Source organism: Homo sapiens, chromosome 22, assembly GCF_000001405.40.
Source record: "Homo sapiens chromosome 22, GRCh38.p14 Primary Assembly".
Classification (NCBI taxonomy): domain Eukaryota; kingdom Metazoa; phylum Chordata; class Mammalia; order Primates; family Hominidae; genus Homo; species Homo sapiens.
In genome coordinates this window covers 29296009-29320110 of record NC_000022.11, presented here as the reverse complement: position 1 = coordinate 29320110, position 24102 = coordinate 29296009, and the positions used below count along the sequence as shown (strand labels likewise).

The window sequence follows — 24102 nt, the reverse complement described above, 5'->3', positions numbered from 1 at the left end:
TGGTTTCACCATGTTAGCCAGGATGATCTGTATCTCCTGACCTCGTGATCCACCTGCCTCAGCCTCCCGAAGTGCTGGGATTACAGCACCCAGCTAGTTTTTTAATTTTTTTTTTTTTTTTTTTTTGAGACGGAGTCTCGCTCTGTCACCCAGGCTGGAGTGCAGTGGCGCAATCTCGGCTCACTGCAACCTCTGCCTCCCGGGTTCAAGTGACTCTCCTGCCTCAGCCTCCAGAGTAGCTGGGACTACAGGCCCCCGCCACCATGCCTGGCTAATTTTTATATTTTTAATAGAGATGGGGTTTCACCATGTTGGCCAGGCTGGTCTCAAATGCCTGACCTCGTGATTCCCCTGCCTCGGCCTCCCAAAATGCTGGGATTACAGGCGTGAGCCACTGCACCCAGCCAATTTTTAAAATTTTTTCTAGAGTCGGGGTCTCACTGTGTTGCCCAGGCTGGTCTGGAACTCCTGGGCCCAAGCGATCCTCCCGCCTGGGCCTCCCCAAGGTGCTGGAATTACAGGCGTCAGCCACTGCACCCAGCCCAAGGTGCAGAGAATTTAAGTAACTTGCACAGATGACACAGCCCTGGAAGGAGGTTTCAAACCCAAGAAAAGAAACTTTCAGAGGCTTGGAAGCCCAGCCCTGCCCAGCCTCCTTGTGTCCTGATGGCTGGAAGACCAGCCCAGCCCTCAAGAGGCTGCCTGGCTGTGATTAGTGGGAGTCATCATGAGGATGTCCAAGGACCCACTACACCCCAAGCATGTGAGCTGTGGAGGATCCCTCCATTCGTGGGTCCAGGAGGTGAGTTACTGGTGGTGTGGAGCCATGATTCGTGGCCAGGACAGACCATAATTAGTGGTGACTGGTGTGGCCTAGCAAAGGAGTCCAGAACTAACACCCCCTGGGAGCTGGATGCAGTCTTGGGTGCCTGACTTCAGGGATGGGCTGGAATCAGGCCCAGTTGGGAAGAAACACATGGGTGAAGGCCAGGTAGCTGGTGTTAGGAGCCTGTGGGCAATGAACTGGGGAAAGCAGAATTCCCCACCTGGTGCCTGCCCCTGCCCAGCCCTCCCCACTATCTGTGGCTTGATCCTTCAGGGCTCAGTATAAGCCCCTCAACTCCCGCTGGACTGGTGCTTACCCTAGGCCTCCTCATCTCCCCAGGCCTGAACCAGCCCAGAGCTCCTGTCTTCACCCGTCCCTGCCTAGCTGCATGTCTGTCTCTTTCTCCCTGCCACAGAGGGTAGGCAGGACCACCTTGGCCACTGTGTGCCTAGTGCCAGTCCCCTCTGCTGAAGGAGAAGATGCATGCATAGTTGGCAGGTGGTCCCTGGAGCCCTGGATAGGGGCATTCAAGGAGTGCCCAGGAGGCCCCTGGGGAATAGGGATTGGAGGGGGGCAGCAGGCAGGAGGCCTACAGCCTTTCCTTGGGGAAGGAATGAGGGGACTGATGAGAGAACCCTGAAATCCACATCCCAGGCAGACAGGCAGCTTCAGCCCCCCAGCCTGCTGGTCTTTAGGAAGCCTGGCACAGGGCTGCACACTCCCATTAGAGCTCATTTCAGCCCCTGTGGATGGGGGGCTCCACGGGACCTAGAGGCCTCCCCAAGTCCCTCCCGACAGGGGGCTGAGTGGTCACTGGGGGCTGAGCTTCAGTTGAGTACTTCCTGAGAACCCTCTGGGTCCAGATGAAGCCAGGCTTCTCAGCCAGGCTCTGGAGCCCAAGGGCCTGGGTTCCGGCCCCTGTGCTGCCATTTTCCTGCTAGGCAACTGTGGCCCAATCATGGCGTCCCAGGGAGCCTTAGTGAGCATGAGGCTGTGGGTCAGGCTTGGCACATCGCAGGCCCTTGATAAATGGGCACTGCTGCTAGGAACGCTGCTGTGAGAGTCTCCTAGGGAACATGGCACGTTTGCAGGGCTTCATGGGAGCCTCAGGACGTTCCCAGTCCACAGTGCCCCTTCCCCTCGCCATCCAAAAACACATACTGGGAGCCAGAGACGCCTCACACACAGCTCTGTTTGCAGTGTCGGAAGGAGAAGCAAGGAAAGTTTTTCAGAGAAAGAATACCCAGGGGTGGGCGGGAGTGCGCCTAGCATTGAGAACACCTTAAAAAAGACCGTCCTGGCCGGGCGCAGTGGCTCATGCCTGAAACCCCAGCACTTTGGGAGGCTGAGGCGGGTGGATCACCTGAGGTCAGCAGTTCGAGACCAGCCTGACCAATATGGTGAAACCCCGTCTCTACTAAAAAACACAAAAATTAGCCGGGCATGGTGGCATGTGCCTGTAGTCCCAGCTACTCTAGAGGCTGAGACAGGAGAATTGCTTGAACCCAGGAGGTGGAGGTTGCAGTGAGCCAAGATCGCACCACTGCACTCCAGCCTGGGTGACAGACCGAGACTCCATCTCAAAACAAACAAACAAAAGACCGTCCTGGTGTCAGCTTTTCAGACTTCTGGGTTTTGTTGTTGTGTTGCTGAGTGCCTTGTTATTTACTCCTTGCCTTGTTCCCCGAAGGAATTGAAGCAGCTCACAAAACCCAGAAGCCTGAAAAGTCAAAAACCCAGAAGTTTGGCCAGATGTGGTGGCTCACGCCTGTAATCCTCGCACTTTTGGAGGCTGAGGAGGGAGGATTGCTTAAGCCAGGAGTTCAAGACCAGCCTGGGCAACATAGTGAGATTCCACCTCTACAAAAAATAAAAATAAATCAGCTGGATGTCGTAGTACACACCTGCAGTCCCAGCTATTTGAGAGACTGAGGCAAGGAGGATCACTTGAACCCAGGAGGTTGAGGATGCAGTGAGCTAAGATCACACCACTGCACTCCAGCTTGGGTGACAGAGCAAGACCTTGTCTCAAACAACAAAACCCAGAAGTCTGAAAAGTTACAACGTGAAAGAGGACATCAAGTGAAGGGAAAAATCATGGTAGGAAAGAAAGATGAAGCCAGCAGTCCCCACTCACTGAGCTAGAAGACCTGGAACACTAGACAGAGGTGGTTCTGAGCTTCCTAGTGGCTGAGGAGAGGAGTGAAAGCGGACCCCAGCCCCCGATCTAGCATGGGAGGATGAAAGCACAGCCATTGTTCTGGAGACACTTTCTGGTTGTCATTATACAGGCTCCCTGGAGGATGTGCCTCCTCCCCCTTCAGGATTTAGCTCCTCTACTTCCCCTGGGCTGGTGTGGGCACATTGTCTGTGCTTTGACAGTCCCTAGATCCCATGTGTTCTAGAACCTTCTCTCCCAAAGCAGAACTTTTTTTTTTTTTCCTGTTTTCTGTTTTTTAAATCTATCTCAGCCTCCTGACAAGCAATAAGATTTGGAATATTTGTTGAGGGGATAAATAAATGAACTCCTTAGTCAGTGCAGAGATCTGTGCATTGCGGCCATTTCTTGAGCATTGCCGCCATTTCTTGAGCATTGCCATGTGCAGGTCAGAGACGTGGGAGCCCCCACACAGCGGGGAGGAGAGCAGAGGCGGAGGATGGGGGGGCTGGGCTAACCCAGGCTTTCCAAGCTGTGATGGGGCAGGAGCTTCTCCACTAGCTCGAGGGAGGGGGAACTTGGGCTCTGGGCGCCTGTTTTGGAGGTTGCATCCCTTTGAGGGGCGCTACGGGTTGCAACTCACGCAGGAAAGGTGACCTTAGTAGTGATGGAGGTGGAGTGGGCCAATTTCTGGATCTTTATTTAGTCACCTCCAGCCTTGCTGGGACAGGGATCTGGGGCTAAGCTGCTGTGGTCTCGGCACCCTCTGTCCCCACTTCCCCTCGAGGACGGCTGTTTGAATATTGTCTAGTGTGGGCCATTTACCCCCGTGGGCAGGAGGAAGGTAGGAGGGACTTCAAAGGAGACTTCAAGGGCCCCCCCACTGCCCTTCTAACCTTGCAGATTCCCCTCTCGGGCCTGTTTCCTCTTCTCTCAACCAGCGATGCCAGGCTGAGGCTGTAGGTTCGAGAATCACGTAGGTAATGGGCCTGGCACATAGTAGGCTCTCAAGAAAAGGTTGGAGCCTCTTGAGGAGTCTGCCTGTGATGGATGCGGAGCGCAGACCCAGCGCAGTGCGGCGATTCGCCCAAGGTCACACAGCCGCCCCCCCCAATTCGGACCCCGGGCGGCCTGACTCCGGGGGCCGGGGCTTGTCGGGAGCCAGCGTGGGGGCGAGCAGTGTTTGGAAGAGCGGCCGCGGCAGTGGGTGGGAAGGGGCTTCTATTTTGGAGCGGGTGAGAGGAGCGGGACACGCGGAGGAGGTAAGGAAGGGGTAGGCCCTCTCCGGGATCTCTGTCCCCCAGTCACCTTCCTGCGACCCTTCCTGGGAGGGGCGTCCTGGGCGGTGGGGGAAGGTGGGAGGGGCGGGCGGTTACCTCATCGCCGCCTCCGGGAGGCCCCGCTCGCTCGCGCCGGCGGCTGGGGCGGCGACTCCAGGCGCGGAAGCGAGAGAAGGATAGAGGCACAGAGGCTCCGGGAGGCAGCGCTGCCCCCCGCGCCCCGCACCGCTGCGGGACCCGCGCCGCGAGAGGGGCGGACTTCGGCGCCTCGCGCGTCCGCCGGCGCCTGGGTTGGCGCTGCGGGGCGGAGGCGGTGTCTGAGCGCCGCTCCGGCTCTGCTCTCTCTCGAGCTTCGGCACCCGCCCGAGCCGCTCGCGCGCCCGCCACCTGTCTGCCCACTCGGCTGTCTGTCTGCCCTCCCGCCGCCAGCTCCTGCCTCGGGCCTGCCCTCTCCGGTCTCGGTGCTCCGAGGGGCGACGAGAAGCGCGACGGGGCCGTGGCGCACCGGGCAGGGCGCGCGGGGCGCACGGCCTGGGGGCGCACGGTGCGGCGCCGGCCCATGAGGCTTTCCAGCGCGGGGAGCGACAGCGCCGGCCGGCCATGGGGGGTAGCCTGCGGGTGGCCGTTCTAGGCGCCCCGGGCGTGGGCAAGACGGCCATCATCCGCCAGTTCCTGTTCGGTGACTACCCCGAGCGCCACCGGCCCACGGACGGGCCGCGCCTCTACCGACCCGCGGTGCTGCTCGACGGCGCCGTCTACGACTTGAGCATCCGCGACGGCGACGTCGCTGGCCCCGGCTCGAGCCCCGGGGGTCCGGAGGTAGCGGCTCGAGGAGCGGGCAGGGGCGTGTGACAGTGTGAGGGGTGTGCGTGCTCGGTGCACACGTGCGTGTCCGCGTGGAGGCCTCGGGCGCCTGGCTGTGCTCCGGGATGGAGGGATGTGTGTGCGTCCTGGGATACTTGCGTTTCAGCCCTTCCCGCCGACCTGGAGACGCCCAAGCCCAGGCTGGAGGCCGGGCGATTTTGCCCAGGGGCGTTCCCTTGCTCCTGTGAGCGCCTCCACCTTTGCCTGCCTCGGCTGGGGGTGTGGAGCAGCTCTTGGTGGTGCATAACGGTGCCTTCCCGAGAGTGTGGCGTTTTGTGTTTGGGGCCTTGAGCAGAGCTACAATGGGAGAGACTGGGGTCAGGAGCAGGGGTGTACTTTCTACGGGGGCTGGTGGAGGGGTTCATTCTCTGCCCTATCATTTTTGTCCCCTGGAGCGAAGACTCGTTTAGTAATTTGTGCAAAGTAAAGGACAGACCTCCGACCCTAGAGCAGTGAAGAGGAAAGAGCAGGCAGGATTAAGCAGGGCTTCCTGGAGGGAGTGGCATTTGAGCTGAACCTGGAAGACCGAGTGAAGTTCTGAGTAAAGGAAGTGGCAAAAACATACCAGGTGGAAAGACCAGCAGGTGCTTACGCTACGGTCATAAACGGTTACAGCTGACAATCTGGGGGCGTGGTGGACCACGGGACTCGGGCCAAGGGCTTTGGAATTAGTCTTAGAGGCCGTGGTAAGCACCGAGAGCATCTAGGGAGGAGAGCGGCCTGAGCCGAGTTGGGGAAAGCTGAAAAGAGGAAGATTCGGGGTAAACAGAGGGGAGACCAAGGATGAAGGAGGCTGGCTGACAGGCTCCAGGCACGATTTGGAAAATTTTACCCTGGTGGTCATGAGGAGACGGCCCGGAAAGCTTGGGGGAGGGGCACAGAGGTCTGTATGGGGGTGATGTTGGCCTGAGGATTAGCGTCCAGGCCCCTGCAGAGGGTTCGAGAGCGGAAGAGTGGAAAGGAGGCTTCCGCAAACCCTGGCCTCCTGTCCCCAGGAGTGGCCAGACGCTAAGGACTGGAGCTTGCAGGACACGGACGCCTTCGTGCTCGTCTACGACATCTGCAGCCCGGACAGTTTCGACTACGTGAAGGCCCTGCGGCAGCGCATCGCGGAGACCAGGTAGGGGCCCGGCAGTTCTGGCGGTGGGGAGCTAGGACAGGTCTGGCAGGGCCTTTGCCTGAGGAGAGTGTGTAGGGTCTCCCAACGTCGTGGGCCGGGTCTTAGGCCTTCGCCCGTGGGAAGGTCTTAAGCTGTATGTGCTCTTTGGCCCACATGGGCCTGGGGTTTCGTTGGGGCGGCGGGGGGGGCGGTGTCTCTGGCCGTAGGAAGGGAATGCGCCTGCGTGTGTATACCCACTGGGGGAATTCTCCGGCCGTGGGGTCCCCGCGTCTCTCATCTCCATTCGGCCCCCAGGCCGGCGGGCGCGCCCGAAGCGCCCATCCTCGTGGTAGGCAACAAGCGGGACAGGCAGCGGCTGCGCTTCGGACCGCGGCGCGCGCTGGCCGCCCTAGTGCGCAGGGGCTGGCGCTGCGGCTACCTCGAGTGCTCCGCCAAGTACAACTGGCACGTGCTGCGTCTCTTCCGCGAGCTGCTGCGCTGCGCTCTGGTGCGCGCGCGCCCTGCACACCCGGCCCTGCGCCTGCAGGGGGCGCTGCATCCCGCGCGCTGCAGCCTCATGTGACCCGATCGGACAGTGCCATCCATGGGCCCCACCTTGTGACTGGGACAATCAGGGACCTGGATTGGACGGGATCGCCCAACTTCACTGGGACTGGACAGGGAAGTCTCCGCCCTGATTGGATGAGGAAAGCTCCAACCCAGTCTCCTAAGCGACTGGCCCCCTTTTGAACCTCATTGGACCCAACCAGGTCCCAAGCTCCATTGGAGATGACCAGTCCTTTCTGGGACCTCAATGGGTCACAATCCCATTGGATGGAAAGGACTTGGCTATGAACTTGACTGGAAACACGCAGCCTGCTCCTGGAGCTTCACTGGACATATTCTTTATGCCACACCTACCACGGGATAATAAAAGGGAAAATAATTTGAGTGCGCCTGGGATTTCTGGGCTGGGCGGGATAACGCCTTAAGCCTAGAGGTCAGAGTTGCCAGGCTTGGCCTCCAGGCAGTTAACTCCAGGGTCCTCGAAAGGGTCTGAATGGCCCCAAGGTGGAGTCCCCAAGAAACAGACAGGTGGCTGGAGCAAAACTTTACTGTCAGAGGCTCTGCTGGGCCACAGGTCTTCAGAACACCGGGCTCGCCCGGCCTCCTCTAAGGCATTCAATAATATTAGTAATTAAATAGCAACGCTCATCCCCCAACCGGAATGTACAACAGAGGTCCCATTGTGCCATGTGGTCCCAAGGGGTCTGGTCCCATGAGGTCTGGTACTCAAGAGGCAGAGGGGGCTCCCTGATGCAGAAGGGTTAAGGCCACAAAGGAAAAGGAGAAGGGATGGGGTCTGGGGACAGCTGAGCTGGTCCATCACATCCAGGAATCTGGCTCAGCCCTCGGGGTGACTGAGTGCAGGGCATGCCATGTCCCCAGCTCTGCGGGTCCGGAGGGGCGGCGGGGGCCCCGAGGCGTGGGGATACGTGAGGGTTTACGGTCTGGCTGTGTGTCCATCCGACCCCGTGCCCAGGTCCTCGAGGGTTCAGTGCAAGCCAGGGGGCTCCCAGGTGCATCTAGTGGCCCCCCCATGCCAGGGCAGGGGCTGCCTTCATCGGAGGAGCTGGAAAGGGCTTGGCTTCGGGGCCCAGGCAGCCCATTGGCCGTCCGGCCAGAGTCCCCAGGTTGGCCACATTTGCCACCCAGGACGCTGAGGGACGAAGAGGAGGAACTGGAGGAACAATAGGCAGAGTCAGGAGCTGGAGGGTCGGGGGCCCGAGCTGGGTCAGGGGCTGGTCCAGTGGGGGTCACGCTAGCAACAGCCTCAAGGGCCCGGGCATTGGCCAGGAACTCCTCTTCCAGGCGCCGGAACAGCTGCTGCTCCTGCTGCGGGTCGAGCTGCAGGGGTGTGCGGAAGATGCTGGCCGGTGTGGTGCCCAACTCTGGACTGGGGCTGGAGACCCGGGAAAGCCGGGGTGCTGCAGGGCTGCGGGCACGGGGAGTCTGGGGGGTGCTCCTGCCCGAGCCCCCACTGCCCCTGCCCCTTGGCACCCATGAGTGCTGCCCGTCTCGATCCCTGCGCACAAGCAGCACAGCCTGCTCCTCGCGGCTCTGGCTCCGGGCCCGCCGGGCAGGGCTGGGGACCGACAGCTGGGCTCCCCTGCCTCCTGGGGCCCCCCGGGGCCGGCCGCGATCCAGCCGGTCTCGGGACTGGCTGCGCAGGGCAGGAGGCCGTCTCGGAGAGGCCGGGGTGCCTGTGGTCAGCCGCCGGCTGGGTCGCTCCCTCCGGGGGCCAGTGCCTGTGTCATCACTGCGGGTACCAAGGGGGCCGCTCTGGGCGGAGGAGGCTGAGGAGTCACTGTCCCCGGAGTAGCGGCGGGAGCGGGGATGGGGGGGCAGCTGATCCCGGGGCCTGGGGCAGGGGGACAATAGAGACAGATGGGGTACCACGGAAGGACTGGCATGCAGAACAGGCAGGGAGAGGAACAGCAGGGTATGTGGCTGGTGGACGGGGCTGTCAGGGGCATCGGTCTGTCCTGGGGACTTCCAGGGAGAAGTGAGCAGCTTCCTCCAGCGGCCCAGGGCCCCAAAAGCCACGGAAGAAGAAGTTTCCTGGGCTCTAGACACCCCCCTTCCCAGGACGGGCCAGAGGAAGCAAGAGCTGGACTGGCTGCCGCCCAGCCACAGGGCCCGCCCCAGCTGTGTTGTTGGTTTGGTTGGGTTGCCATGGAGATGGGAAGCCAGGCCCGCCCCCACCCACGGGAACTTTTCCCAGGGTGTGAGTCACTCTGGCGCACAGGCAACCCATCATGCAGGCCAGGGCTGACGCCCCCCCACCCTCTGGACCCCTCACTCCTCGTCCTCCTGCATCTCACCTGGGTGGGGTCTCGGGCCCCTCCTTTGTGCTTCGTAAGCTAACGGGAGTCATCTCAGGCCGGGAGCCCCGGCGCTCACTCCCAGGGACTGGGCTAGCAGGGCGGGGACTGGTGGTGGGCGACACCCTCTGTGGAGAAAAGGTGCAGACCCTCGGCTGGGGTGGGCGATGAGCTGCGGGGAGAGAGGACAGGCAGCATGTGAGGGACAGAGCCACAGAAGCAAGTCCCCTGCCCGTCCAGCCCCAGCCCCACCCTGGCACTGACCAGTGGAGGAGCAGCGGCACGGGTCGTGCTTGTCCAGGTAATGCTCCAGCGTGTCCCAGCCACCACCCACTCGCACCATCACGTGGCTCCTCAGCACCTGCAGGTGTGGGCAGGTCACGGCTGTGCCCCGGGCGCCCCGCAGCCCACCACCTTGGCTGCTGCCCGCTGGGGCGGCCCCAGGCCCTTACCCGCACAAAGATGAGCAGGCTCGAGTCCCCCACACGGTACTTCCCCTCTGAGACCTTGATCATGGGAAACTGGTCAGGGCAGGTGCAGCGGCCCAGAATCTCCCTCACCTGAGGCCAGAGAGAGAGGGTAGGGGTCAGAGGTCAAGTCCTCCTCCTGGGGCTTAATGTCAGCCATTCCAGGGTCAGGAGGAAGTCAGGCTTTCCGGGTAAGTGGATGGAGGCAGTGTTGCCCCGGATGGGGTACAGCTTCCACACGTGACCTTTCTTTTATTTTTTTTATTTTTTTTTATTTTTTTTTTTTTTTGAGTTGGAGTTTTGCTCTTGTTGCCCAGGCTGGAGTGCAATAGCACGATCTCGTCTCACCGCAACCTCCGCCTTCCAGGTTCAAGCAATTCTCCTGCCTCAGCCTCCTGAGTGGCTGGGATTACAGGCATGCACCACCACTCCCGGCTAATTTTGTATTTTTAGTAGAGATGGGGTTTCTCCATGTTGGTCAGGCTCAGGAGTTCCACCCGCCTCGGCCTCCCAAATTGCTGGATTACAGGTGCGAGCCACCACGCCCGGCCCACACATGACCTTTCACCGGCTCCCCTTTCTTGGCTCTCTGGGTCCAGGGAGCTGCCCAGGATGAGATGATGGGACTGTGGTCAGGCCATGGTCTGAGACCCGGTGACGAACATCCCACAGCCCCTAGACCTGGGGAAGGCCCAGAGCCCGTCCTCACTCCCGCTTCACCCACTTCTCAGACAAGAAGGCTGGGGCCCACAGGAAGGCCAGGCAGGCTACAGGACACAGGTGCAGGGGGCCCCATGCCCCTGGGTGGGCACTGATGTGGAGGCGTACCACAGACACATCGGACACATGCACACACAGACCACTGGCCGGGTGAGCACGCACCACATACAGCCCCCCACCAGAGCCAGAGCGCTGCCAAGCTGGCTATGTGGGCAGCCCTGCCCGCCTCCCCGCCCACAGCGGCAGTGGTGCCGCCAGAGGAAATAAGCAGGTGGGGCCTTGAGTGACCCTGGTCCAGGACAGGGGGTGGGGCCCCAGGCTCTGCCCACTGCCATCCGCTATCTGCCTCCCAGGCAGGCACATTGTAGTCCTGACCTTCTGATAAGAAGGAAACTCTTGGTCCAGCCCTCAGGGGTGGCAGGGGCCACCCAGATCCTGGGAGAGGAGAGACTTGGGGGCAGGGCCCAGCAACGCCTATGCTTAGAGTAGAACGAATCCTGTAATTCCAAACAGGATCCCTGCTCCCAGCAACAGCAGCAACCCAGCTAGGCTTCCCAGGGGTGCCTGGGGAGTGGGGAGACCTGCAGAGCCCCCTGGGGCACCTACTGTGTGCCAGGCACCTTGCCCAGGTTTTTCCATGCCTCGTCTCAACCGAGCATCACAGCACCCGCTCAACCTCGAGCCTCCATGAGGTTGTGGGTACATCTGCCTAAGACTGACTGCAGGGAGGGCACAGAGGAGGCGCCCCGATCATGCGGCCCCCCAGAAGAAGGAATGCACAAGCTCAGTTGAGGCACAGTTAGCACACAAAGTGAGGGAAGATCGTGCCAGGAGCCCGCATCCTGTCCCAGGCCCGGCTGGGCTGCGTCATCTCCCCGGCACCTCCCTCTCTGTGGGCTACCCATTTCCTTGGGGTCAGGTATACATTCCTCGGTTTGGTGCTCAACATGTGCACTCTTTTTGTGGGGCAGACTGTTCTGCAGATAGCAGGGTGGACCCTGGGAGGTTCAGGGACAGATTGCAGGCACTGGCTGTGCTGTCGGGTCCCTGGCACCTGGTGCTGGGGGACTCACCAGCTCGTCGAGGTTGCGCAGGTCGCTGGGTGTCATGCGGGGGCCGCGGGCAGGAGTCCCTGGTGCGGGGGCGGTTTCAGTGGTGTCCTCCCCAGCGGCAGGGGCGTTGGGGGCTGGGGGTGCAGCACGCAGCTCCCGCTCAATCTCCTGCTCAAACTGCACGAGGCGTGGGGCCAGCAGGCCCAGGCGTGCCCCACGCCGCGCCACCTCCAGCAGGCACAGCACCACGCTCTTCTCGTTCTTGCGCAGCACCAGGTCCTCAGTCTCAAACATGAGCACCTCCGGCACACCCAGCTCCACGCGGCACCAGCCGATGAAGGTGGCCACGTTGTCGCGCGCCATGAAGGAGCCAGGCACTACACTGTGCGCCTGGAAGGCCACACCTCGGGCCGGGCGGGCGGCTGCCAATGCACGGGCAGCCTCGGTCACGGCGTTGGCATGTTGGCACAGGGTCGTGCCCGTGGCCAGCCCTGTCAGGAAGCCATCGCCACCACCCGGGAGACCCAGGCCGTACAAGGCATTGAGCCACTCGGCCAGGTCCTCCTTCATGGCCTCCACGTAGGCCTCACTGGAGCGAAATGGCCGCACGCTCTTGGCCGCCGAGCCCGCGATGCCCGCCACTGGGTCTGCCATGCCCGGACCGGCCGAGTCACTGTGGGCAGGAACACAGTTCAGGATCGCTGTGGGGACCCAGTAAGCGCTCAGTACAAATTAAGCTGCTGGCCACCTGCACCAGTCTGTCACTCAGGCCAAATGCCTGGTTTACATGTTGGCTCTGGGAAATGTCGGTGCCCCAAGTTTCCTCATCTGCGAAATGGGTACAGTAACATTCCCTGCCTCATAGGACTCTATGGGATAATTTTTATAAATTTAGGGTCCATTAAGTGTTTGCTGTGTGGCTTTTTGCGGTGGAAACTGGGGCTTGGCTGGGGCCTCCCTCTCAGGCAGGGAGGCGCGCCCATTGTGAAGGGCTGGGACCTAGAGAAGTGAAGACAACGGCTAAGGCCCCCAGTGGACACGAAAGGAACCCAGGTCCTGACCTCAGAGTGGGTTATGTGCATGGCTTAGGGCTGGTGCCCACCCCATGTCCTGCGGGAAGGTCCCCGTGCCTTCCTTGGCCCCCCTTCCATAAGGGCTGTGCCGTCATTAACGACATAGCAGCAGCAATAGTGTAACAGCACGACCGCGCTCGGGCTCAGCGCGCGGAGGCATTATCTCCATTTTATAGATGAGGAAACTGAGGCGCAGAAAGGGTCGAGCTCGTGAAGGTCGCAGAGCTGTGGGTGGAGGAGCCCGGCGTCCAGGCGGCGCAGCGTGGCCGGTCTCGGCGATCCGGGGCCAGGGCCAGGCCCCGCCTCCTCCAAGAAGCCTCCCCAGCGCTCCAGGCCGGTGCCTGCGGGGCCAGGACTCAGAGCGGCCTCCGCAGGCCCTGCCGGTGCTGGGGCTCTGGGCCCAGAGAGGGTGCGGGGCCGCCCAAGGTCACACAGCCCCGGGGAACAGAGGCCGAGGACGCCGCTTCCCGCCCCGCCTCCCCACCCCCGTCCATGCGCACCAGGCAGGGAGTGCTGGGGGTCTCCGCGCTCACCTGGCTCATCCCGCGGCCCCGGGGAGCATTGCCCCAGCGGGGGCCGGAGCCGGGCCGGGCCGCCGCAGGGAGGCGCCGCCCGAGCCGCAGCTCTATGCGTCCCGCGCCGCGGCCTCCTCCTCGCCGCCGTCTCCGCCCCGCCTCCCTGGAATTCGGATCCTGCCCGGAGGGGGCGGGCGGGGCCGCGCGCTCTTAAAGGGGCCGCCCCTTCCCCGAGCCGGCGGGAGCTGGGGTGGAGCTGGGGTCTCCCCCCGCCCGCGATCGGGCCAGGAATCCCGGGTCTTCGAGCGCTCTCGACGCAGAGAGCCCCAGGGCCCCCAGACAACTGCGACCGGCCCAGGCGCCCAACCCCCACCCAGCCTAGTACCCGGGGCCCCGTCCAACCTCTTTGGTCTCCTGGGGAGGAGGTTGGGACCTTTTAATCGCCCCCCTCCCCAGACGGTGGGCTCCCCGGGCTGGCGCACAGCACGGCCTGTTCCCAAGATGAAGGCAGGAAGCGATAGCGGCTGGAGGCTGCAAAGTCACCTCCTCCCGGGTGGACCTCCCCTGGCCAGATAAACGGCACCGCCGCGGGGAGGGGGAGGATGCCCCTGGCGACTGAGGGCTCCTTGTGCTCACTGAATGCTCATTTTTGACCCTGAAATGAGGGGAACCGGTTTTACAGATGAGGATACTGAAGCTCAGAGAAGTAGGCAGATGGCCAAAGCCGGAGTTCCGCACAGAACAGGGGACGGGGGGCATCGGAGGCCGGCCGGACGCGGGAGGGTTAAGCCCCGCTGGGCTCTTTTTAAACTGCAGAGGACGGACCGCCGGGATCAGCGGGAAATCCTGCCCCCTGCTGCTGCCGGCTGGGCTGGGCGGGACGTCGGGCGGGTCTGGGCGGCAGCCATGCTACACGGGTGGGGCAGGCCTGCAGGGAAGCCGCCAACCACAGCCAGGCTCAGAGCTCCAATAAATCTCCTACTGTGTGCTGCCAGGACTGCTCTGCGCCCTTGACCTGAATGAACTGGTGTGTCACCTCTGTGAAGGACACTCATGCCCAACTGGGGCACAGTCAGGAGAGCAGCTGGTGGAGCCAGGATTTGAACATGACGATTATGGGGACGCCCTCATCCACGGATCAGCAGCATTGGTTGAGCACCTGTGAGCCAGGCCTCTTGGTGCCAGGCATTCACAGGCATCCCAGAGAGTCCTTGTGACCTTTTCTTTTTTATTTTCTTCCTTTTTTTTTTTTTTTTTTTTTTTGTCTCGCTCTGTCGCTCAGGCTGGAGTACAGTGGCTGGATCTGGGCTCATTGCAACCTCTACCTCCGGGGTTCAAGCGATTCTCCTGCCTCAGCCTCCCGAGTAGCTGGGATTACTGATACCTGCCACCACGCCCGGCTTTTTGTATTTTTAGTAGAGACAAGTTCACCATGTTGGCCAGGTTGGTCTCGAACTCCTGACCTAAGGTGATCTGCCCGCCTCCACCTCCCAAAGGGCTGGGATTACAGGTGTGAGCCACTTGCCTGGCCTGTGTGACCTTTTCAAAGGCGTTTTCTCACCTCAGCGCCCCCCATGGCACTTCCTCCAGTGAGGAAGGCAGTAACTAGCAATCCTCAAGGCTGACACCTGCGTGGCACCTACTGTGTGCTGGGTCTCTTTGGGCACTGGAAATCAACAGCAAAACAGCAGGGAACCAAGCAGAGCCAGCTCTCAGGGCCTGTTGTCCAAGTCTGGCAGGGAGGCAGCCCCAGGGCAGAGACAGGGATGAGGTGCAGAGAAGACAGGGATGGAGCCGGGTGAGGGTGTGGGTGTGAGGGGGCTGCAATTTAAAATCCCTCATCAGGAAAGGAAGTGAGGGAGGAAGGTCGGGGATATCTGGAGAGGGAGAGGGAACGGCCAGTGCAAAGGCCCCATGGTGGGCATGTGTCCGGCGTGCTCAAGAAGACTGGGGAGGTGGCTGAGGCTGGAGTGCAGGGAGGTGGGTGAGGGAGGAGGTAGAGAGATTAGAGAGACCCCAGGGCCGGTTAAGCAGGGCCTTGGGGGCCGTGTCTCTTTTGAGGGACATGGGAGCCATGCAGTGATTTAGAGCAGGGGTGGTTGGCTTAGGTCTTAACATTCCCGGCCGGGCGCGGCGGCTCACGCCTGTAATCCCAGCACTTTGAGAGGCCGAGGCGTGCGGATCACGAGATCGGGAAATCGAGACCATCCTGGCTAACATGGTGAAACCCTGTCTCTACTAAAAAAATACAAAAAAATTAGCCAGGCGTGGTGGCGGGCACCTGTAGTCCCAGCTACTTGGCAGGCTGAGGCAGGAGAAGGAGAATGGTGTGAACCTGGGAGGCGGAGCTTGCAGTGAGCCCAGATCGTGCCACTGCACTCCAGCCTGGGCGACAGAGCGAGACTCCGTCTCAAAAAAAAAAAAACATTCCCTGGGGCTGCTGTGGTGGGCCAGGGCAGGAGCTGGAGCCTCAGAGGAAACCAGGTGGTGAGAGGGCGCTGGATTCTGGCCATATTGTGAGGGGAGAGCTGATGTGCTGGTGGATTGGTTGAGTGTGAGGACGGAATCCAGGACAACTCCCAGGGCTGAGCACTGGGAGGGCGGAGGTGCTAACACCTGGGGAGGGAAGGGCTGCTGGAGGTGGAGGAGGGTTGCAGGTTTGGGGTGGGGGTGAATCAGGGTGTGGACATTTAACAGTTTCATCTTCAAAATACCCCGATGAGCTATGATACTCTTAGGTGTTCTCATTTTACAATTTGGGGAAACTGAGGCCCAGAGAAGGCATGGGATATGTGTAGCCAGCAGCTGTGCAGGAATTTGACTCCTGCTTATACCTACCTTGCTGCATTTTGGGGTTTTGGACATGGGTGAAGTTGGACGGAACCCAGGCTCTGTCATTGGTCATTGGGTGGGATGGTGAAGCTCCCTGAGCCTCAGTGGCACCATCTGCAGAATGGGACAGTAGTAGTAGTTACATCATGGGGTTGTGAAAAATAATGCCACTACCCAGCTCAGTGTGGCCTGGCTCAGCATATCCACTTCTCTGGGGAGGAGGGATTATAAAGAAATTCCTTCTGCTGGGCGCAGTAGCTCACGCCTGTAATCCCGGCACTTTGGGAGGCCGAGGCGGGTGGATCATGAGGTCGGGAGATCGAGACCATCCTGGTTAACACGGTGAAACCCCGTCTCCACTAAAAATACAAAAAATTCTCTGGGTGTGGTGGCGGGTGCCTGTAGTCCCAGCTACTCTGGAGGCTGAGGCAGGAGAATGGCGTGAGCCCGAGAGGCGGAGCTTGCAGTGAGCAGAGATCAGAGATTGCGCCACTGCACTCCAGTCTGGGCGACAGAGCGAGACTCCGTCACACACACACACACACACACACACACACACACACACACACACACACGAGATTCCTTCCTCCTTCTCTCCCATGAGCTGTGGCTTGTGATAAGAGGCCTGTTCTAGACCACAGCCTCCCACCTGATTCTAGGACATGTAGCTGCTATGATGCAGACCTCACTGGGGGGTCAGACCCCTGGCCCAGGGCATGGTAGACCGTAGCTTTGACCCCCTCTGTCGTGTGGTGGCCCAGGGCCTGTGGGGCCACCTCTGGGAAAGCCTCAGCCTCTACATGGTCTCCCTTGTTCCTTGCAGGACCAAGAGAAACCACAGAAACTGCTGGAGGGACAGGAGGTTTGGGCTATAGAGACCCTGAGCCCATCTGCACGGACCCTTGAGGCCACCCACCTCTATGCACAGAATGCTGTGGCTCCCATGTGGGCTCCTTCTGGCCTTTGGCCAGAGGGCACATAGCCAGTTTCTTGCGCCCACTGCTGGGTGCCAGCCAGCAGCCTGCTTGGCCTTGGTTGCAGCTAGAGGTCAGATGATGGCTGTGGCAAAACTCTCATTGTGGCCTACATCCCTGCTACCGGGCAGCTCCAGGAAGCTCTGGCACTGGTTGGATTAGAACTCCAAATTCTCCAGTCTGGACTGAGGCTCTGAGCACAGCCCAGGCTAAGTGAGGGACTCGCAGGAGGCTTCCGGCTGCTGTGTCCAGGTGTGGGCTCAGCTCCAAGGACACCTGCTGGTCAGCTCCTGCTCTGGCTGTGGGACAGGTGACCCTGAGCTGCCTCCAGTGCCCTTCACAAGAGAGACGCAAAACTGGAAAACCCAAGTGGGCTCTTTCCAACCTGCCTGCATCACACTGTCCTCACTGCCGGCCCTGCGCCCAGCAGATCTGTCAGGAGTGGGGTAGGAGGGGACAGCACGAGGGCCAGCTGTTGTCCCTGTCACAGACTGCACAGTCCTCAGCCCCACAGCTGCTGGTACTGCTGTTGCTGCAGCCCTGTGCTCTTCCCCGTCGAGCAGGGGAGCCACTCCCTGTGGGCATAGATCAGTCTCCCCATGGACCCCGCCACCTTTGCCCAGGCCTGTGCCATGTGGCCTCGTGGGACCTCAAGTTTGTGTTGGCAACTTTTAGTCTAGGTGCTTTTGGGGAGTTTGACCAGGGTGTGGGTAGAGACTAGGCTTTTTCTCCACCTGCTCTGCTCTCTGCCCTGCCCACCTCCTTCATGCCCTGGCACCAGCCAGCTTCCTGCCGCCCTTTGAGACAGGCTTGGCATCCATGCTGCCTGAGGGAATCTGTGCCCAGAGCATCCAGAAGTTTCTTTGGGCTGAGAAAAATAGACCTGCCTGCTGTAAACATCTCTACCAGGGCTATTTAGTGCCAGTGACAAACCCCTCTCGGGCAGGGACATAAGGCTACTCCTGGGGAGCCTATGCAATGCCAGAGTCTGACAGATGCTTGTGCAGTAGCAGCTTCCAGAGCAGGCTGCTTGTCTTCCCTTAGTGCTGGCAGCATGCGGGTCATGTCAGAGCACCCATCCTTTTCAGAAGCAGGTGCCTGTATACAGTGGGTTGGTGGGAGGGTGAGCGTGCGGGGCCTGGAGGGCGACCACCCTTAGCTCAATTCAGGCCTCTCAATGGCAAGTCCTCCCTTGACCTCTCTCTTCCCATCTCAGCTGACGTGTGGCTGTCCTATGTTACCTGCCTTGAAGGTTATTAGGAATTAAACGCACAGAGGTACTTAGCGCAGTGCCTGGCACGACGCAGGGACCCAGTGATGCCCTAGTCGAGTTTGGGCCTCCTAGGTTATGTGTGCATCTTGGCTCTGACACACCAAGGCTGCGGTGAGAGCGTCCTCGGCCCCTTGAGGAACAGTGCTGGACTGGCGTGCAAGGTAGAGCAGGGCAGCTGGGGTCCCAGAGGTCTTTTGGGGCATGGCAAGCGTGCTTGGAGCCACCAAATGGTTTTGAGACTGGAGATGACCTCCCGTGTCAAGTTGGTTTGGGCCAAGTGTGGTGGCTTACGCCTGTAATCCTAGCACTTTGAGAGGTCAAGGTGGGATGATCACTTGAGCCCAAGTTGAGACCAGCCTGGGCAACAGTGAGACCTGGTCTCTACAAAAACATCAAAAAAATTAGCTGGGTGCTACACCTGTAGTCCCAGCTACTCAGCTCAGGAGGTGAAGCTGTGATTGCACCACTGTACTCCAGTCTTGGTGAGAGCAAGACCATCTCAAACAACAAAAAACCCCACAAACCTTGGTCTGGCTTCTGAGGAAGGGCTGGAGATACTGAGGGGAGAAGCAGGGAACCCAGTGAGGGGGCGTTATGGAGGTGGGGGCTGTGGGTGGATTTGCACCGTCCTGGATTTGCAAGAGAGCTAGGTTGGGGGCTGGGGTTTGAGAATGGGTCATGGATGACTCCAAGGTTTGGGGCAGGTGTGTGTTTACTGAACTGGGGTGTAGGCAGGACGGGACAAGAGCAAGCCCTGCTCTACACCCATCATGCACCCAAGCCGAGTTGGCCCTAGGGAGAAAGGGCTAAAGCCACAGTATGGAAAGGACAGCCAGGCAGTGTGGCGGCTCAGGGGAGCGCAATGCTAGCTTTGGGGCCTTCCTGCATTTAGGGATAGGAGAAAAAGGAAGCAATGAAGGAGATGGGAGAACAGAGAAGGAAAGACCATTGATTGGGCAACATTAGAGGTGGTTGGTGACTGAGAGCTGCTTGTTTTAGTGCAGGTGAAGAATGAAGTGGGTTCCAGAGAGGGAGGGGTGGACAAAGCTCTTTCCATGTGCTTCCTGTAGAAAGGGCCAGGAAGATGGTTTGATGGAGGGAAGGGGATGATGGCTGGTTAAGGGAGGGTTTTCCAAACGCAGGGAGTCAAACACATATTAGAACAGGAAATGACCAGGGAAAGAAACAGCAGAGGTGCACACAATGCATGCCCAGAAGTGCTGGGGATGAGAGGACCCGACCCAGTCCGCCTGAGAGGGATCGTCCCTCACCTGAGGGAGCAGCCCCTTAGATGCTCCTAGTGCCTGATCCGTGATCCCATGGAAGGCAAAGTTATTTCCAGTTCTTCCTGTGCCTCCCTTACCTGGATCTCCCCTTGAACCTTTGGACACTAGTGGGTCTCAGAGGCTGCATCAGGGCCAGAGTCTGTTTCCATGTCACAACCGCTTATTTCCCCTCACACAAACCCTGAACCAACCGTTTACCTGGAAGGCACCCCTCTCCTGGGTGGGGTGGGAGCATGCTCCCAGCAGACACACAGTGACTGTGGAACAGAGGCCGAGAAGGATGACTCTTTATAAACATTTGGAATTTTATTTAAAAAAAAAAAAAAAACATCACAACCATGAACATTGTTACAGTTAAGAGGCCCTCTTGGTTCTCCACAATGATACTGAGCATGCTCACAAGGGGTTCCCATTGTTAAAGTCTTAAACAACCATTTTTAAAAGAAGGAAGAAAAAAAAACTCCGCACACTACCATTTAACTTGTTTTAATGTTTCTTCACAAATGGTGAAAAATACTAAAGTACAGACAAGGAATAATCATAATGTTGTGGCCAACATTATAAATATGGAATTATAAATTTAAAACATTTTCTGGTTTAAAAAATAAATCTGGTAGTCAATGCAGCTCTGCGGGGTCTCTGCATCTAGTAGGGCCGATCTCTGCGCTCCTGACGGTGCTCGCCTCTGCAAGGTAAAGAGGGCCCTTCGGTTAGAATGGGAAGGGGTGAGGAAGCCCTTCCAGAGCCCCCAGGTGCCCCTTCCTGGCTCCTCCCAATCGGTTAGAATGGGAAGGGGTGAGGAAGCCCTTCCAGAGCCCCCAGGTGCCCCTTCCTGGCTCCTCCCAACCACTATCACAAGCTTCCTAGAGACATGAGGACTTGCGCCAACCAAGCTGGGAAGGGCTGTCCTCTTACTGTGCCTGGCGGCCCACAGCTGCTTTTCACCAGCACTTACTTATCCATTTTTCCAGGTCCTCCACGTCCTCCTCTTCTTCCTCCCATCTGTTCCATCAAAGGTCCAGGGGGCCCCCCAGGGCCACCTCGTCTTCCTCCACCAAAGCCACCTCGGTCCATGCCCCGGCCACCACGGAAGCCACCTCTGTCTCCACCACGGCCACCTCTGAACATTCCACCGGGACCACCACGATCCATGAGGCCACCTCTTCCTCCCCGCATGCCACCAGGGCCACCTCTGCCACGATCACCACCTAAGGTGAGAATAGCAGGGCGAAAGCAGTCAGTGGGTGGCTGCAGAGGCCCTGTGGACACTGTGGAAGCTGCTCTGCTTCCTTCTCTCACAGCAGAACAAACCAGACACTTCACTCAATCTCGGCATCGGGCTGACAATTTAGAAATGAGGACACGACAACTCAAAGTTGTTAAGCAGAGGGCAACTGCAGTTTACCAAGCCCACAAATAAGAAAAGAGGTTTAGCACCAGGAAGCTGAGGGGACACTCATGAAACCTGCACCTACCCGGGGGCGGAAAGGGTGGCGGGAGGAAGCCTTCAGGCTTTGGGGCCTTACACTGGTTGCACTCTGTTCTCCAGGCGAAGTTCTGGTTTCCACAACCCCTGCATACAATTACATCACAGCAGAAATCACCAATTGAACTAAGGAAGATAAACAAGGAAAGGTGGTGTGTGAACAGGTACACACTCACTATCAAGAGGATCTATGTACACCCATGCTTTAGGGCACAGCCTCAGGCAGCATTGCACCCACAGGACAGGTCAAATCAATCTTCAGAAGGCTCTGAAGCGTCCAGTGAATGGCTGACTAGTGTCCCTAACCAGCCATCAGGGTCATCATTCTGTTCCTCTAGACAGAGCAATCCACTCTAGAGTGGGGATGGGGTGAGGGAAGGGTGGCTTCACTCGTAGGGTATCAATTTGCCAAGACAAGTACATACGGATTGGGACACTGCCAGTCTCCAGCTCGGTGCTGGACGTTTCCTCCTCCAGAGGGGTTCCCTCGGGAACCCCGGGGTCCTCTTGGAGGGAAGCCTCCTCTATCTCCTCCACGGCCTCCCATGCGACCCATGGGTCCCCCAGGACCTCCTGGGCCTCCTGGACCTACAACAAGAACAACAAGAAACAGCAAATCATTTCTCTGTAGCACCAAATTTGCTATAGGAAATAAAAATCACTAAGTAAACCCACAGATACTACTGCTGTCATTTCCCCATCACCTGTCCCGTGTTTCCGTGTGGCTCAGGCCATCAGCCCCCTTCCCTGTGAGGAGCGTGTTCCACGTGCTCTACAGAAACAGAGCTCCCACAATTTTTTTTTTTTTTTTTTGGAGACGGAGTCTCACACTGTTGCCCAGGCTGGAGTGCAGTGGCACGATCTTTGCTCACTGCAACCTCCACCCCCCCAGATTCAAACAATTCTCCTGCCTCAGCCTCCCGAGTAGCTGGGATTACAGGCATGCACCACCATACCCGGCTAATTTTTGTATTTTTAGTAGAGAGGGAGTTTCACCACGTTGGCCAGGCTGGTCTTAAACTCCTGACCTCAGGTGATCCGCCCACCTCAGCCTCCCAAAGTGCTGGGATTACAGGCGTGAGCCACTGCACCTGGCTGAACTCCCACAATTCTGTAAGGAATAGGCATGTCTATACAGACACAACCAAAGCTGAATAAATGGCAGTCTGGAGTTGACAGGCAGAGTGGCTTCCAGCCTCCCATGTTCTTCTCTTCCTTTTATTCCCAACAAACATTCATTGTTAGCTCTCGATAGTCTAGTATTGACTCTACACACAATTTTATATTTCTTCACTCTAATAATCAAGTTTCTCAAGGGTATGAAGTGTACTGAAAACCTTTTAATGCAACATAGGAGCTCAGAAAAAGTACCTCCACGGAGTGGTGGTGGCATGCCTCTGCCCTCACGGGGTGGCAGACCACCCCGCATACTGTTCATTGGAGGCTTCTTCCGAGCAAGGGAGACTTTAAGTTTGCTCCCTTGAAAATCTTTCCCTGGAACAAGACAACAGAACATCAATTACTCCCCTGTACTCCCTGTTCACCAACTCCACATCATCATCAAATGACCACTCCCAGATGCATTAGGTCTGCCTGTAATCTTCTCTAAGATCTTTAATGACAAGGCCAGAAAAAGGCTTTTTTTGAGATGGGAGTCTCACTCTGTTGCCCGGGCTGGAGTGCAGTGGCACAGCTCACTGCAGTTTCAATCTCACTTGCTCAAGCAATCCTCCCAAGTAGCTGGGACTACAGGCACGCATCACCATGCCCGACTAATTTTACAAAATTGTTTGTAGAGGCAGTGTCTCACTAGGTTGCCCAGGCTGCTAGTGAACTCCTTGGTTCAAACAATCCTCCTGCCTTGGCCTCCTGAAGTGGTAGGATTATAGGCAAGAGCCACTGTGCCTGGCCAGAAAAAGGCCATACTTAAATACACTTAAAAACCTTCCTACAGCCTGACCAACATGGTGAAACCCCATCTCTACTAAAAAATACAAAAGTTAGGCTCAGCGTGGTGACATGCGCCTGTAGTCCAGCAGCTACTCGAGTGGCTGACGCACAAGATTGGCTTGAACCTGGGAGGTGGAGGTTGCAGTAAGCTGAGATGGCTTGTGTCACTGCACTCCAGCCTGGGTGACAAAGTGAGACCATCTCAAAAAAAACAACACAAGCAAAAAACACTGTCTACCATAAGGAGGAAAATAAGCTGGTGGGAAGCTGACTGCATGACCAAGAAAACAGAACCAGGACTTGTTATTTGACACTTTCTTTGAGACAGAGTCTTGCTCCGTTGCCCAGGTTGGAGTGCAGTGGTGCAATCTCAGCTCACTGGAGCTTCAAACTCTCCGGGCTCAAGTGATCCTCCCACCTCAGCCTCCTGAGTGGCTGGTACTATAGGTATAGGAGTGTGCCACAACACCTGGCTAATTTTTGTATTTTTTTTGTAGAGACAGGGTTTTGCCATGTTCCCCAGGCTGGTCTCAAGCCCCTGGATTCAAGCAATGCACCGATGTTGGCCTCCCAAAGTGCTGGGATTACAGGTGCAAGCCACTGGACATGGCCAAGTCATTCAATGCTTTCAAGTTGGTTTTGTCTGAAGTGAAATCCCACCATTAATGTCAAGGCCTCATTTAAATATATATATTTATCTATATGCAAATGTACACTGGCTAAGATGTTCTTTTGAAGGGTTTTCTGTACCTTCTGATAATCTGTGCTTAGGAAGTGTTTGCCACTTTAAGCAAGGTTGATTTGTAATACTAATGCCTCAAAATAAAGGGATCTCCAAATCCAGGGTCAATGGCTGGGTGCTACTACTACTGCAGGGAGACCGGCCATCTACCTCCCCCAGGAAGAGATGGAAGGTCTTCTTGCTCCTATGGTTCACAAGTTTCTCCCTCATGCCATATTCTATAGCCAGGGAGATTAAGAATGCCAGTGAGTACATCTCACCATCAAACCATTCCACGGCAGCCTTGGCAGTGGGTGGGTCTTCATAGGACACTGTGGCATCGCCTTTGGGCTTTCCTGTTTCCTTGTCCAGGTAGATGTGGATCATGGGTTGCCCAGTTCTCTTGTTCATCTAGACAAAGAATAGCATAGTTAGGCATGACTAGAATATACTAATTTGGGAGAAAAAAGTCCAGGCAAAATCCAGGAAAAGTACCAATTTCTCACATGTAGTAAGTCACTAAATGTCACCGTTTCTCCGCTTTTAAGTTTTTCAGAATTCTAAGTTATTTTCTCCTCTATCCCTGCTTTATCATAAAAACCAAAGTAGACCAAAGTGTGGAAGTGAACAGGATAGGCCCC

At 58.1% G+C, this 24102-nt stretch overlaps 3 protein-coding genes across 60 annotated transcripts in view, besides 11 other annotated features; 1 reads left to right on the top strand and 2 right to left on the bottom strand.

Moving 5' to 3' along the window:
• The first annotated feature begins 251 nt into the window (after positions 1 to 251).
• On the top strand, positions 252 to 7178 carry RASL10A (RAS like family 10 member A). 3 transcript variants are annotated; one of them, XM_011529822.1, is made up of 4 exons: positions 2793 to 3636; positions 3888 to 4246; positions 6124 to 6248; positions 6543 to 7178. In XM_011529822.1, exons 2-4 carry the CDS (start codon positions 3968 to 3970, stop codon positions 6808 to 6810), a joined length of 672 nt encoding a protein of 223 aa, XP_011528124.1. In that variant the 5' UTR covers positions 2793 to 3636; positions 3888 to 3967; the 3' UTR covers positions 6811 to 7178. The 3 variants fall into 3 exon arrangements, with proteins under 3 accessions (XP_011528125.1, XP_011528124.1, NP_006468.1); XM_011529823.2 differs by lacking the exons at positions 2793 to 3636; positions 3888 to 4246 and adding an exon at positions 252 to 802; NM_006477.5 differs by lacking the exons at positions 2793 to 3636; positions 3888 to 4246 and adding an exon at positions 4414 to 5083.
• Positions 4418 to 5222: an enhancer, noted in NCBI's record as "H3K27ac-H3K4me1 hESC enhancer chr22:29710878-29711682 (GRCh37/hg19 assembly coordinates)". NCBI's record gives its function as "activates a minimal SCP1, AML or CMV promoter by ChIP-STARR-seq in naive H9 embryonic stem cells {active_cell/tissue: H9 hESC(naive)}" and the evidence as "EXISTENCE:reporter gene assay evidence [ECO:0000049][PMID:30033119]".
• Positions 5223 to 6027: an enhancer, noted in NCBI's record as "H3K27ac-H3K4me1 hESC enhancer chr22:29710073-29710877 (GRCh37/hg19 assembly coordinates)". NCBI's record gives its function as "activates a minimal SCP1, AML or CMV promoter by ChIP-STARR-seq in naive H9 embryonic stem cells {active_cell/tissue: H9 hESC(naive)}" and the evidence as "EXISTENCE:reporter gene assay evidence [ECO:0000049][PMID:30033119]".
• GAS2L1 (growth arrest specific 2 like 1) lies at positions 7324 to 13461 on the bottom strand. 7 transcript variants are annotated; one of them, NM_001362985.3, is made up of 6 exons: positions 12958 to 13461; positions 11373 to 12024; positions 9565 to 9672; positions 9377 to 9473; positions 9113 to 9284; positions 7324 to 8649 (listed from the first exon to the last, which is right to left on the bottom strand). In NM_001362985.3, the coding sequence occupies exons 2-6, from the start codon at positions 12003 to 12005 to the stop codon at positions 7614 to 7616; spliced, it is 2046 nt and encodes a 681-aa protein (NP_001349914.1). In that variant the 5' UTR covers positions 12006 to 12024; positions 12958 to 13461; the 3' UTR covers positions 7324 to 7613. The 7 variants fall into 7 exon arrangements, with proteins under 7 accessions (NP_001349914.1, XP_011528127.1, NP_689422.1 ...); XM_011529825.1 differs by having other exon boundaries at positions 13342 to 13461; NM_152236.3 differs by having other exon boundaries at positions 12925 to 13088.
• Positions 8970 to 9119: an enhancer, noted in NCBI's record as "active region_18815". NCBI's record gives its function as "activates an Ori minimal core promoter by ATAC-STARR-seq in GM12878 lymphoblastoid cells {active_cell/tissue: GM12878}" and the evidence as "EXISTENCE:reporter gene assay evidence [ECO:0000049][PMID:35858748]".
• Positions 12725 to 12864: a silencer, noted in NCBI's record as "silent region_13591". NCBI's record gives its function as "represses an Ori minimal core promoter by ATAC-STARR-seq in GM12878 lymphoblastoid cells {active_cell/tissue: GM12878}" and the evidence as "EXISTENCE:reporter gene assay evidence [ECO:0000049][PMID:35858748]".
• Positions 12955 to 13004: a silencer, noted in NCBI's record as "silent region_13590". NCBI's record gives its function as "represses an Ori minimal core promoter by ATAC-STARR-seq in GM12878 lymphoblastoid cells {active_cell/tissue: GM12878}" and the evidence as "EXISTENCE:reporter gene assay evidence [ECO:0000049][PMID:35858748]".
• Positions 12955 to 13708: a biological region, named in NCBI's record as "H3K27ac-H3K4me1 hESC enhancer GRCh37_chr22:29702393-29703136".
• Positions 12965 to 13708: an enhancer, noted in NCBI's record as "H3K27ac-H3K4me1 hESC enhancer chr22:29702393-29703136 (GRCh37/hg19 assembly coordinates)". NCBI's record gives its function as "activates a minimal SCP1, AML or CMV promoter by ChIP-STARR-seq in naive H9 embryonic stem cells {active_cell/tissue: H9 hESC(naive)}" and the evidence as "EXISTENCE:reporter gene assay evidence [ECO:0000049][PMID:30033119]".
• Positions 13025 to 13294: a silencer, noted in NCBI's record as "silent region_13589". NCBI's record gives its function as "represses an Ori minimal core promoter by ATAC-STARR-seq in GM12878 lymphoblastoid cells {active_cell/tissue: GM12878}" and the evidence as "EXISTENCE:reporter gene assay evidence [ECO:0000049][PMID:35858748]".
• Positions 13709 to 14454: an enhancer, noted in NCBI's record as "H3K27ac-H3K4me1 hESC enhancer chr22:29701647-29702392 (GRCh37/hg19 assembly coordinates)". NCBI's record gives its function as "activates a minimal SCP1, AML or CMV promoter by ChIP-STARR-seq in primed H9 embryonic stem cells {active_cell/tissue: H9 hESC(primed)}" and the evidence as "EXISTENCE:reporter gene assay evidence [ECO:0000049][PMID:30033119]".
• Positions 14055 to 14104: an enhancer, noted in NCBI's record as "active region_18814". NCBI's record gives its function as "activates an Ori minimal core promoter by ATAC-STARR-seq in GM12878 lymphoblastoid cells {active_cell/tissue: GM12878}" and the evidence as "EXISTENCE:reporter gene assay evidence [ECO:0000049][PMID:35858748]".
• Positions 16662 to 17162: an enhancer, noted in NCBI's record as "H3K4me1 hESC enhancer chr22:29698939-29699439 (GRCh37/hg19 assembly coordinates)". NCBI's record gives its function as "activates a minimal SCP1, AML or CMV promoter by ChIP-STARR-seq in naive H9 embryonic stem cells {active_cell/tissue: H9 hESC(naive)}" and the evidence as "EXISTENCE:reporter gene assay evidence [ECO:0000049][PMID:30033119]".
• EWSR1 (EWS RNA binding protein 1) overlaps positions 19590 to 24102 on the bottom strand; it is a 32254-nt gene continuing 27741 nt past the window's right edge. For 12 of the 50 annotated variants that reach the window (NM_001438532.1, NM_001438535.1, NM_001438463.1 and 9 more), the window contains 6 exons: positions 23743 to 23872; positions 22162 to 22284; positions 21216 to 21378; positions 20780 to 20877; positions 20260 to 20512; positions 19590 to 19989 (listed from right to left, as the gene is read on the bottom strand). In NM_001438532.1, the coding sequence (NP_001425461.1) occupies positions 19950 to 19989; positions 20260 to 20512; positions 20780 to 20877; positions 21216 to 21378; positions 22162 to 22284; positions 23743 to 23872 (807 nt within the window). In that variant the 3' untranslated portion in view covers positions 19590 to 19949. Of the gene's footprint in view, positions 19990 to 20259; positions 20513 to 20779; positions 20917 to 21215; positions 21379 to 22161; positions 22285 to 23742; positions 23873 to 24102 lie in introns of all 50 variants that reach the window. The other 38 variants (NM_001438500.1, NM_001438530.1, XM_011530002.4 and 35 more) reach the window with 7 other exon arrangements.

Bases quoted from the DNA above. Each gene is read 5' to 3' on its own strand.
- RASL10A (XM_011529822.1), top strand. From the start codon at position 3,968: ATGGGCCTGGCACATAGTAGGCTCTCAAGAAAAGGTTGGAGCCTCTTG. The intron at 4,247-6,123 runs GTAAGGAAGGGG...TCCTGTCCCCAG, and splicing joins GAGCGGGACACGCGGAGGAG to GAGTGGCCAGACGCTAAGGA. The intron at 6,249-6,542 runs GTAGGGGCCCGG...TTCGGCCCCCAG, and splicing joins CAGCGCATCGCGGAGACCAG to GCCGGCGGGCGCGCCCGAAG.
- GAS2L1 (NM_001362985.3), bottom strand. From the start codon at position 12,005: ATGGCAGACCCAGTGGCGGGCATCGCGGGCTCGGCGGCCAAGAGCGTG. The intron at 9,285-9,376 runs GTCAGTGCCAGG...CTCTCCCCGCAG, and splicing joins GTGCCGCTGCTCCTCCACTG to CTCATCGCCCACCCCAGCCG. The intron at 8,650-9,112 runs GTGAGATGCAGG...CCCCTGCCCCAG, and splicing joins GGGCCCGAGACCCCACCCAG to GCCCCGGGATCAGCTGCCCC.